The sequence below is a fragment of the Homo sapiens genome, chromosome 1 (genome assembly GCF_000001405.40).
Source record: "Homo sapiens chromosome 1, GRCh38.p14 Primary Assembly".
NCBI lineage: Eukaryota > Metazoa > Chordata > Mammalia > Primates > Hominidae > Homo > Homo sapiens.
Window position 1 is genome coordinate 166113910 of NC_000001.11, and position 13030 is coordinate 166126939.

The 13030-nt window shown below is 45.8% G+C and overlaps 1 protein-coding gene across 4 annotated transcripts in view, besides 1 other annotated feature; it reads right to left on the minus strand.

Moving 5' to 3' along the window:
- Window positions 1-13030, minus strand: part of FAM78B (family with sequence similarity 78 member B) — a 111084-nt gene that overhangs the window by 57992 nt on the left and 40062 nt on the right. The window lies entirely within an intron of this gene.
- Window positions 2510-2679: an enhancer, noted in NCBI's record as "experimental_946 CRE fragment used in MPRA reporter constructs". NCBI's record gives its function as "activates a minimal promoter by MPRAs in K562 erythroleukemia cells, with activity observed for the non-introgressed 1:166085741 variant allele {active_cell/tissue: K562}" and the evidence as "EXISTENCE:reporter gene assay evidence [ECO:0000049][PMID:34662402]".

Consider the following 13030-nt stretch of genomic DNA (forward strand, 5'->3'; position numbering starts at 1 on the left):
CCAAACTGGTGAAAACCAGTGAAGGTCAAACACAGGTCAAAAGAAAGCAGCCCATCAGAACCCTTAGCACTGCCCACCACATTAGGGCCCACTAACCTGAAGACACCTGTTAGACATGCAAATCCTTTACAAAACAAGACATGGGACAATAAATAAATCACATAGACACCAATTATCCTTCCACTGTTCAGCCAAAGGCCTCCTCTGTGCACACTCTATGCTGGGCACACCTTTGGGTGCATGATGATAAAAATACATTTCCATTGCACATTCGAATTTTTGAGGTGCTAACACATGCATGATCCAACTAAATTCTTGACACAAACCTGTGCAGAACATAGTCTAATGCCCATTTAGAGGTTGGAAAACTGAGGCTCAGGGAAGGAGGGTGCCCTGGGTCATAGTTATTAAATGACAAGAGCTTGTGCTGAAGCCGACTGGTTCATTCATTCATTCATAAAATGGTTCAAATTTTTCAGAATTAATTTTGATCCAGTTTGGAATAGATGTGCCACCTTTTGGAAAGACTGGCATTTAGAAAGTTCTGTGTGAATACTGAATACTACACTTCCCCCCAGGAAGGGGTTTATAATAGAGACAAATTCTCCAGAACCAATTTTCAAGGAGAAAAGAAGAAATGCACTGCAAGCAAGAAAACTGGGTGTCTGGGAAGGTTTCCAGCCAGGAGATTTCCAGCAGGACTTGAAAAGACTTGGTCCATCCTGCATTAGAACAGATAGTGGGAGTAGGGAGGAGGTGGCCTTTACTCATTCCTCCCTGTGCTAGTTACCTCAGAGGACACGGGAGGGGAAGATGAGGAGCCTTCCCAGAAGAGAATACCAATGTGGAATCTTTACTTTAAAAGAGACAACAATATAGCATATTTTTTTGTTGTTGTTCTCTTTTTCCTTCCCAAACTCAGAAACCATGGCCACCCTGGCAAACAGCTTAGAGTTAGACTACATCTGATGCATGTGTATCCTGGGGCCTCCTCACTCCCAGGGAGATAGTCTGGTCTTCTGGAACAAGTTCCCTTTAGCCTTCTCCATTGATAGCATAGAGGTGGTGATTCTCAAATTTTAGAGGGGAAAGGGTGAGAGAGTTTTGGGAGGAGCATGTGGTATGACTGTCCTCTCAAGATGTGACAGAAAACACCTTTGGCTGCCTGAACATGAAACAGCATGGTTTGTTCGTTCATCTGACAAAAGTCTACTGAGTGCCAGAGACCGCTCCAAGCTCTGGGCTCACAGCAGTAAACGAAACAAAGCTCCCACTTCTCAGGGAGCTTACATACTGGCCGGAGAAAGAGACGATACACAAACAAGATAAAGGTAATGAGAGATGGGGCTGCTTTTTAAGACAGAAGGCAGAGATGGCCTCTTTGAGAATGTTGTCACATTGTCATTTTAAGCAAACACCCAAATGGAGCGAGGGAGAGCATGCATGGTTATCTGGAGGCAGAGTGTTCCAGGCAGAGGGGACAAGCAAGGGCAAAGGCCCTGGGGTGACCAGAGAGTGCTTTGTGCATCTGAGCTCCACTTGGGAAGGTAGGTAGGGGTGAGGTCAAAGAGGTAGCAGCCCAGTGGTGGGACAGATCCTATGGGCCCTGGAAGCCATGCTGAGAGGACCCTGGGTACTTATTGTGCAGCATCTGTGTGCCGGGGATGTCCTAGGGCCTGAGGGCAGAGAAAAACATGTCATGATCCCTACCTTCGCCGGGGCAGCTTATGATCTATCAAAGGTTGACAAAGAAGGAGGTGAGTCCAGGACACCGTTGTAAGTGCTGAAAGGCATTTGGAGCGGCTGAGGGCTCAAGAAAGGGCTTCCAGAGGAGATGACACCAAAGCTGGAAGGAACAGTTGTGAAATAAGCCAGAAGTCAGCTATGTTCTGGAGCCACTTTTGCCCATTTCCCATCTCAGTCAAATCCTTGGATCTTTCTGAACTTCAACTTCCTTGTGTAAGAAATGGAAATAACAATACCTGTTCTCTAAACAGAAAACAAGGTCAAAGGTGTGAAGGTCTTTTCAAGACTGTAATGTTCTAGAGAGATGTAAAATACTCCTACTATCTCACCACAGTGCTTTCTCTTCCTACAGACCTGTGACTGTGTGTGAGTGCACACAGCTAAGTGCATAGGCCCCTAGCACCTCTCCTTGCACCCAGCAAAGCTGGTCAGTTTGTAAAGCCAGGCTTCTTGGCCCAAGGCCTGGTTGCATTCTGCAGCTTTCATGTGTCCTGTGGCTCTTGGTGGGGCTGCTGGAGACAACATCCCTGTGGCATTTTCTCCGCTGTTTAACTGGGATTGCTCAGACATGTGTGCAGACTCCTGTTGGCTTCTGGGCTCTTCATTCTCTCTGACCAGAACCAGAGATGGGATCCTGCCCCTGCTTTCCAGGCCCCAGAGAAGAGGTGGCCACTAGGCTGCAGGTGCTTGGTCACCCTGCATTGCTGTTTGTCTGTATTCAGGAGGGGGATGCTATTCCCACATAGGCCAGGTTTGGCTCTGTCCAGGGCAACATTTCTCCGTAGTGATAGGCGCTCAGCCAGGGAAAGAGAAGCGTCTGCCCTCTCTATCAAGAAGGTACTTTGGGGGAGTAAATTTCCATCAGCAGATTGGCAAGGTTATGGTTTAAAATCAAACAACCCCCAACAACGAAAGCCAGATTGCAGCATGATCCACCTGCCCTCTCTGGGGTTAAAAAGTTCTTTTTCTCTAGGACCCTTCAGAAAGAAGAGTCTATTTTCACCAACCCCGAGGCTTTAATGTATTTCATCTTCCAGTGTATTTTTTCCAATTGGAGTTGTCCTACAGTAATCTTACCCTCTTCAGCTGAAAAATCCCCTTTCGACTTATGGGAAAACACTGGCTGGGTTCAAGTGTTGGCTCTGCTCTGTGACCTTGAGCATCCCTTTGGCCTCAACAACTATCTGTAAAATGGGAGAATTAAGAACAGGTGAATCTTAAGGTTCCTTCCAGCTCCAGCCTTCTAGGATCCCATGACGCTTTGTCTCTAATGGCAGCGCCCTGCCATCTGTCTTGGCTAAGGGGTCACCACATCCCTTGATGTTGACCTTGACTTCTGCCTTTTAAAGTAATAAATGAAACCTATAAATGCTAAATAAAATATGTGGTATTCTCCTACTTTGACAACTATATCCTCATATCTGGAAGACCAAATTCAAATTTAGAATTTTCAGACCCCCCAGAACTCTGTGTTGCACTATGGTCTCTTTCTGCTGTTTTCCCCCTTAGTTTAAGGAGACATATGATCTCCCTGAGTAGAATTCTGGTTGAATTCCAGTAGAATTCAAGAATCCTACTCAACAATCCCTGAGTAGGATACTTATCTATTTTGCATTTTGTATCTTGTGGGACATGTAGTTTGCTGTTGCTGTAAATACAACAGCAGACTAACAGACTTCCAAATAGCACACTTTTTCTCTTTTTTTCTTTTATTATTATTTTTTTTTGTAAGGGGATGAGTATCAGTTGTGAGGCACATTTTCCTTTCTTAATTTAGACAACCAGCTTTTAGTCTTAGCACCCCATATCACATTTCCTCATCAGCAGAAGCTGCTATTTCTCCTATCCATTAATTCCCATGTGAAAAGTGCAGCTTCTAGGGGCCCCATTTCTTTGCAGTCTTAATGGCACTTATTTTTCTATGGATATGTGCTTTGTTAGCATAGGTTTCCATCAAGAAGGTAGTTAGTTGTTTTATTCAAGGCAGGAATGGCAGACCTATGGGTTTTATAGGTACATGGAAGGCACTGGAGGTCTCACTGGTCTGAAAGAATGCACTTAAAATATCTAAAGGGTTATGGTATATTCTAAACCTTTTTCCTAAATGAATTGGGACCTAGGGGCTGGACACAGCAGGGCTTCTGGGTGTCTGGGAAGAGCACAGAGGTTGAGTCAAGCGGGTTCTAAAAGACAGAGTCAGGAGCACAGCTGGAATGGAAAGCCAAGCAGACAGTCCCACAGAATTGCTCACCTTAAAAATCTGGGCAAGGGTGAGCAAACCCGACATGACGCAATTGGGAGGGGCGGGGGTGATGGGCCCAGAGTCAGGTTCAGACTGGAGGGAAGGAGGCAGAACTGAGGTGGTCCTTTGAAGCAAACCTCATGGACTCTGTAAGAGAACCACAGCTCCACTCCTGGAGACAAAGCTAGAAAGAAAATGTGGAATGAAGGAGCAGGCATAACTAGGACCACTGGGAGAAAGTTACACGGAAGCAGATTCTGCCTTCACTAAGAACCTGCTCACAGACAGGAGCTTGGATGGAGTGGGTTGCCTCCTTAGATGACAGGCTCTTTGCAGAATACAGATAACCAGGAGTTAGGAACTTGTCGAGGAGCTTTCAGCATGAAGGGTGCCGTGGGACTCTATGATTGCTAAAATCTCTTTGGGCTCTAAGGGTCTGAAATTCCATGAGATTTTAAAAAAGTCTATACCAAGATACCTATCTAATGTATAGTTTCAGTTAATCACATAGCAAATAAAAGAACCAATAATTTCACACACTAATAGGTTTTGTCTTCATAAGATAAAACATATAGCTTTATTGCTAGAAATAACCTTATGTGTCATTTAATCCAGCACTTGACAAACTATGGCCTACTGCTTGTTTTTATATTAATAAATGAAGTTTTATTCAAACACAGCCATGCTCATTCATTTATATATTCTCTTTGACTGTTTTCAGGCTATCACGGCAGAGCTGAGTGGTTGCAAAAGAGACCTTACAGCTCACTAAGCCTAAGATACTTATTCTCTGGCCCTTCAGAGAAAATGTTTGCAACCCTTTGATGCAATCTAACCCTCCATTATACAGATAAGAAAACTGAGGCCTTCAAAGTAAAGGGCTTACTTCGAGGGAGCTAGGTGGTGACTGAGTTGTGGCAAGAACCATGACACATGACACCCAGGCCTTTGTTTCTCCACTTCTGCTCCCAATGTCCCATCCCCAGCTCCTCTGCTGATGTGCACCTCTTCACGCCATTCCATTTTGTCATTTTGCAGACACCAGGACAGAGGGGCAGAGGTGAAGTGACTGGCCCAGGGTCACTACGCCTGTCTGCTGGCCACAGGACAGGCCTCACACTTCCAAGTTCTGATCCTACAGAACCGGCTTCAAACTGCTACTCCAAGTAGGAGTAGGAGAGAGAGAGAGAGGAGTGGAAGGCAGAGAGAGCTTCTAAGAGCTTTGAAGACAAGAACTCATTTGGCTCCCCAAGTCTCTCTCAGCATTAGCATTCACCTTCTGTTTTCCAACAAAAGGACACATTTACAACTGTCTCGAGTTCAACTTGAAAACCCTTTTCACAGGTTTCCAGGGAAATTACTCCAAGCAGCCCTGTTGGACTAAAATGATTTTAACACACCCAGTTGTCTTCAATTCCTTCAGTGGCATCTGCTACAAACACCAAAACATATGAGTACCTGATATTTACCTTTCTTTGACATGAGTGATTCCAAAGGAGACGACGCACATGGTAAAAAACAAGCCCTATCTACCCACAATCACATTTAAAGAACAAACAGCCAATCTGAGGCCCACATCGGGCCTCCGCTTTCTGTGTGGGAGATTTCCCAGAGCGACAAGAATCAATCAGCCCATTAGCATGCTCTACATTTGTCCAGGAGAGTATCAGTTGAAAGCCGACCCCACTTTAACCCTTCTTCCAGCTGCCTCCCTAAGAGAGCTGTTTTCCTCCTCTTTGCCATTTACAAGCCTTTACAGTTTCTGCATTTCCACTTCTATTACACATCTCTCTTGGACAGACAGGAATGAATATTCATCCAAGAGATTAAAGCGCATCAGCAGTTCTAACATAAGTGGTCAAAAGAATAAAGGACGCGTGTCGTAAGTGGCCACACGAGACTCCCTGAAGCCTTGCCAAGGCAATACACTGAACATGTGCATGGTTCTCCAGGCCCACAGAGCTTCTGCCCAGCTCAGACACACGCCTGAATTTCAAGGGTGACATTTCCAGCCACAAGAGGGAAGCTAAGCATGAAAGAGAAGATGCGCCAAGAGAGGCAGCTCTGTTTGGGGCTCAGCCTGTGGATCTACTGTTCCTTGTGCCTCTGAATTCAGCCCACTCCCTCCCATAAAGTCAGCTCCTCACAGCTGAAAGGTGAAAACCAGCAAGGATTATGTGAGGCATTGGGTGGGCTGCCGAGAATCAAAGATAAATAAAGTCCTTGTCTTTACATTTATTGAGAATCTATCTGTGCCAGGTGCTGTGCTGGGGGCTTTACATATGCCATTTCTTTAAATCCTCACACAGCCATAAGGTCAGCATTATTTTCCTCATTTTATACACATAGTACCCTCAACTCAAGAGAAGTTAAGTAACTGGTCCAAAGGCACACAGCAAGTTAGTGGTGGAGCCAGGCATTCAAACTCACATGTGTGCCTGTGTGCTTTCCATCACACTGCACCATATCCAAAGCCTGGAGGCTTTCTTTCATCACAGTTGCGGGCTGACCGTGCCACGCCTACTTAGCAGGGTGCCCAGCAACTGCGGGAACATGGGTCGAGGCTCAGGTGCATTCAGTGTGCTGTATATCATGTTGAAACGAGAGCATGGTGAGCTGAAGATCATTTGGAGAGCAAAGGCAGAAGAGTGAAATGAGAGAAGAACAAACCCAATTTGTGTGGAAATAGAAGATGTACAGACAACAGTGCTCATTTGGATAACAGGGGTCCTAAAGAGGGGTCCCTGCGGACGACTGCAAGGGAGGCTGAATATAGCAAAAACACAAGCTTCCAGCAGAATCTGAAGTGAGGTGGGTGGATGAAAACAGGAGGAGCTAAGGGCTGTCCCCAAGAGCAGGAGCACGTGGTGAGCAGAGGACATCCACGGTGAACTCACAGTTAACCAGGGGCAATGGATAAATGCGCTAGGCAGGAGACTCCAGAACCCTGGCCATATCCGCCAACACCATTTGTCTTGTTCTTTACAGCTAAGTTTCCAACACTCTCCCCTTCATCCACTTGGCCAAAGTGGAGAAGTGTGAACATAAGTCAATACAGTAACACTATCACTTCTGGATGTTGTCACCAGAGCTTCAACTCAGAGTGACCTTTCTTGATCTCATTCTTTACTAGCAAGATTATTGTCACCAGGTGCACTCTTTAAATTTGTAGAGCCTCGGGCAATTTTTTTTAAAAGCCCGCTTATCATATGACTAAATATTTAAAAGTTACAAATCAAGCCTACAAATGCTAAATCAAAGACATGTTGCACTATGGTGGCAAGGGATGGAACACACATCGGTGTGGACACCATCAAGGTCCACAAGGGGCCACATGCATATGGTCCTGGGGACTTCAGCATCCCACCACAGGTGTGTAGCTGTGGTGGGATACTGAGGTCCTCAGGACCAGGCTCTGTCTACACCCTCACCTCGGTCACTCTTGGACCCCTGAGGGTTCACAGGGTAGTGGAGCCCACCCTGAGGAAGCAGACCCAGGGAAAGTGTCCACACAGGTTCTGGGAGCTCTATACTGTCTAAGCAGGGAATTCCAAGGTCCTGGCTGCCACTGAAGAATGGTCTAGAAGGAAGGGTATGGGTCTGTGTTCTTGGCCCTTCAGAGCTCCATACCCTGTGGAAAGGGACTTAAGAAAGGGCCAGAGCAGGGCCCTCTAAAGCATGGGTCCCAGGGCAAGGGGCTCTGAGTGGTAATGACCTTTGATAGCCCCATGTACCAATAATGCCTCTAATAATTAGCACCATGTGCCAAGGTTTAGCTGTCCCAAGCATTTTACATGTGCTAACTTGTTTAATCCTCCTAACAACTCTATGAGGTAGGTACTATTACTACCGTCATTCTATAGATGAGGAACCTGAGACAGAGAGCAGGTAAGCAACTTGCCCAAAGTCGTAAGTGATGGAGCCAGGTCATCTGGCTGCAGGTCCTCACTCCTACTGACTACATCATATCCCCTGTACACACAGCAGGGCCCACCTTTGAGGCACATACTGGCTTACAGGGCAGCCTCCCACAGCTCAGCCCTGAAGGCAACTCCCAACCAGGCACTACGGAGCACCCATTGTGTACTCATGGCCTATATTCATGAACATTTGGGACAACTCTTCATCACATCACCACACCTCTGACTGCTTTTCGGAATCACAGATTAATTCCCAGATCTGTCCAGTAGGTTTGCTGAAGCACCATTTTGGAAAGTTGGAAGTGAGTCAGGAGATGGCTTTTTTTCCTTGCCTTAGCCAGGATAAGGAATGAAATCATCCCTAGGGGAGGAGATAAGCATAGTCTGAGGGCATCGGTGGTTTGATGCCACAGCTGATAATCAGGAGAAGGCTGCTCTGCCCAGGGCACAGATCAGCCTGAAAGCAGGAGAGATGGAAAACACCCCAGATGAGTAGGGTTTCTAACAGCCAGTGATGATAGCTGCCCTTGAATTGGGAGAAAGTACAAGCCAAAGAAAAGAGATCTCAGTTCTCTTGAAAGCTTAAGCCACCTCTATCTAAATTGGGTAACTAATCAAATGCCAAGGAAACACCATCAGTTTGATATTTATACATGTTTATAAAGCTTATTATCCAACATTATATAAGCCAACTCATATCTCAGATATTAACAGGCCTCAGAATAGAGATTTGCTACAACCTACTCACAAATGCTTAAAGAAATCTTTCCAAATGTGGAAAGGGCATTGTGTGAATCACCCTGAATCTGGGTTCAAATCCTCATTCTCTCTCTTAGCATCTGTGTGTCGTTCTATATGTTATTTGATCTCTCTGAACCTTGGCTTCTTAGCTGCCAAATGGGGATGGAAAATATCTAACAGGATTATTGCGAGAATTCAATGAAATAACATGTAAATGTTCTGGTATATAAAATATGCTTTAAAAATGTTATTTTTCCCCCTTCTTTGGCCATTTCCACCTTCTCCTCCTCCCTCCTGGAAGCCTCTGTTTTCAGGTTATCTTTAGGATCCCATAGAGTGGATTATTCACAGCTATCTGAGGCCCCTCTTTTATATGAGGGAAACGTGGTCCGGCTGAGAGCTCCAGGACGAAGGTATAAACACAGCAGAGGGCAGAGCCTGATTTCAATCAGGGGCTACTCTAAGAAAGGCAGGAAACTAGATAAATACATTTAAAAGAAATTCCTCAGTGGCAGGGACAGCAGAGCAGCAGGGGGTAGATCCCAGCACGGACAGGTAACAGTGTGATGTGGCAGAAAGGCTTTGGTTGCAAGTGGAGAACAGATGTCTCTGGCTGCCTCTGGCAGCTGCCTCCTTCTGGGCCTTGACTTTTCAAAGCCAGGCCAGGCCTCCCCCACCCTGGACCACCTGTAGCTGGTTCAGAAGGCCCCAGGCTGGGCTTCATAGATGAAGACACAGCTGACTCAGTCTCTGGCTCTGTCGGCTCTTGGCCACCTTGCCGCTCCCATAACGGTGTTTCTCAGGTCAACCCCTCTTCTCCATTCCTACTTCAATGACCTCAGGTCAGGCCCTTGCCACTTCTCTCCTGGACAAAGATGACAGCCCTTCACTGGTATCCTCGTCTCCAACCTAATTTATCCTCCACAGTGCTGTCAGAGTGACATCTCTAAAACACACAACGACCCCAATTTAATATTCTTCAATGGCTTCTGAGGATGAAATCCAAGCTCCTTAGTCTACTAGTCAGGACTTTTTCATTTGCAAATATCAGAAACCAACTTGAAGAAGCTCAGATTAATAAACAATGAAAGGATTTATTGGTAGGATACTGGGAAAGTTCCTAGCAGAAAAGAACCATAAGAACTGGGCAGTTCCTGGGATCTCAGGGGTCAGGACAGGGGCCTTCTCCATGGGGTGAGGAAGAGGTGTTTAGAGACCCACAACCACACTCCTCCAGCAACACGCCATGAGGGGCAAGCTGAATTCTTCCACCCCAGCTCCAGCAAAAATCCTGGGCAAACATTATGATCGGCCAGCTTGGGTCGCATGCCCATCGCTTGATAATTATTGCGGCCAGTAGAATGGGGAATGTGATTGGTACCCAGGTCCCAGGCCCAGGCCTAGTCCAAAGTGGGAAGAGGAGTGGGATCTGGGCTGCAGAAGCCAGGAGAAGGTGCTGAACTGATGAGGACAAAAGCCCCTCATGATCTGACCCTGCTTTGGCCTCATCACTCACTATGCCCCACCCCGAGGCTGCCACCATAGCAAAACCAATCTCCTTGTAGTTTCCAGCACACACCAGTCTGCTTTATGCTTCTATGTCTGGCTCATGGGTTTCAACACCCTTTTCCTGGAACATCTTTTGCACCTTCTTTGGTTGGGTAATGCAGTCATCCTTCCACATTCAATTCACAGTTGCTTCTCCCCAGAATCCTTCCCAGAGCTCTTAGACTAGATTGCTTCTTTTTGGGCTCTCAGCACACCTGTGTGTCTTTATTGTAGTTACTATAGAATAACACTAAACAATGATGATAACAACAAAAACAAACACACGTAGCACTTACTATATGCCAGGCACTGTTCTAGGCATTTGGTATATTTTAATTCACTTGCTCCCATAACAACCCTATGAGGTGGGTACTACTAATAGCAAGTGGAGCTTGCTTTATTGAAGCAAGGAAACTGAGGCACAGATAATTTATATCACTTGCCTGAGATCACAGAGTTATAAGTAGCAGAGCCAAGTTCAAACCCAGGAAGTGTAGCTCTGAGTTCTGCTTTAGAAATAATTTAACAGGCTTCAGTCTACCTGGCTAGGCTGTGAGCCCTCCAGGGCAGATACTGTGACAGCCATCCTTGCACTGCTGGTATTGGCTGAGTCCTTCATGAAATACTGTCTGACAGAACTGAACGGAACCTCCTCTGTTGGGCAGCAGCAGGAGGAAGAGAGAAGTAGAAAAGGCCACTTGGGCCCTTGGAAGCGGGATCATAGAGGGCTGTGGAAGGAATGGAGTCACTGGAGTCAGTCCCAGGTTGGCTGCATCCTGGCAGACCTGGTGTGGGAGAAGGGACACAGACACCCAGCAAGCTGGTCAGTACCCTACACCCACCAGGTCACCTCTGAGAAATGTCTCTTCCCAACTCAGCTATACTTTCTCTCTCCAACTTGTTTCCTATTCTTTAAGCAAATTTGGCTTCTCCTATGGTCAACTGAGACCTGCCAGCACTGAGCTCTCACAATTGCAGTACTTTTCCATGCATAACTTGATAAGGCCTATGTTGGGGTATGCAGGTTCTGGAGTGGTTTTCATTCAGAGCTGATTTTCACCCATTAACTAAATTGAGCTAATCCCTCAGTTTAGCTTCTTTTTCCTATGGTTGTGGGACCAAGCGCCAGGCAGGTCTCTGACTCACTGTCTTTCCTTAAATAAGCCATTGGATGCCCCCTGACTCGGTTTCTCCAGTTGCATATTGAGGCTGAGTCTAATAACCTGCCTCAATGGGCCTCGGAGCTCAGTATGAGAGCCTATTTGTCTCCACTGGGAAAGCTAGTGGTAAGAGGGAGGGACTGCAATCATTATGGCCAGTCATTAAACACGGTCCATCTTCCCTGCCAGTGGGACCTGAAACTTAACTACAACCTGACAGCAAATTTATCAATGTCAAAGTCAGATATGATGAGAGAAGCCTTTTATTGAGTCCTTCCTATGGGTCAGGCATTGAGCTAAACTATTAACAAATACAATTGTTCCTCTCTGTCTGTGGTGGATTGGTTTTATGACCAATTCAAATACCAAATACCCAAATCTGCAGATGCACAAATCCCATATATAAAATGGCACAGTATCTGCATATAACCTACGCACATCCTCCTGTATACTCTCAATCATCTCTACATTACCTATAACACTGAATACGATGTAAACGCTATGTAAATAATTGCAACATTATATTGCATTTTGAATTTCTGTTATTATTGTATTGCTACTTTGAATTTTTTTTTTTTTTTTTTGAGACTGCGTCTTGCTCTGTCGCCAGGCTGGAGTGCAGTGGCGCGATCTCAGCTCACTGCAACCTCCACCTCCCAGGTTCAAGCGATTCTCCTGCCTCATCCTCCCAAGTAGCTGGGACTACAGGCATGTACTACCATGCCCAGCTAATTTTTGTATTTTTAGTAGAGACAGGGTTTCACCATGTTGGTTGGCCAGGATGGTTTCAATCTCTTGGCCTGGTGATCTGCCCACCTCAGCCTCCCAAAGTGCTGGGATTACAGGTGTGAGCCACTGTGCCCGGCCTATTACTTTCAATTTTTTTATTTTCTGAATATATTCAATCCATGGTTGGCTGACTCCTTGGATGCAGAACCAATGGATACAGAGGGCTGACTGTCCTAATTTAATCTTCACAAGTCTGTGTTAATCCTTTTGACAGTTATGATTAAGTACCTGTAGATGCCAGGATCTATATTGGACACTTGGGAAACAGCAGTGAATAAAACAAAGATCTCTGACTTGTATATGGACAAGCAATAAACACAATAAATGAGTAGTAAACTACAAGGTAAACCATGTAGTAGGTTAGGGAGAAATAGTATGGATGAAATAGTAGAGCAGGTAAAAGAGACTGGGAGTGCCAGGGAATGGTCCAGGTAGGCCTCACTGAGAAGACGATAACTGAGCAAAAATTTGATGGAGGTGAGGGAGTTGGCCATCTGGGGGAGGGGCATTCTGGGCAAAGGTCTAAAAGTGAGAGCATGCTGGGGTGCTCAGGGAGTGGTAAGAGGGCACGTGAGGCTGGGAAGGAGTGATGATGGAGAAGATGAGGATGACAGACAATGAGGGGCCACATCATATGGGGTGTAATATACACAATAATACATGATAATTATTGCATTATGTAGGCTACAATATTGAGTACCAATATTAGTCCCATTTTATAGATGAGGAAACTGAGGCAAAGGAATATTACATATCTTGTCCAAGGTGACATAACCAAGTATTGGAGCTGGGAATGCACCCAGGTGGTCTCAGTTCAGAGCTTATGTGTGCATCCTAACGCTAACACATGGAAACCAAGATGTTTCATGGTATCTTCCCCTGTC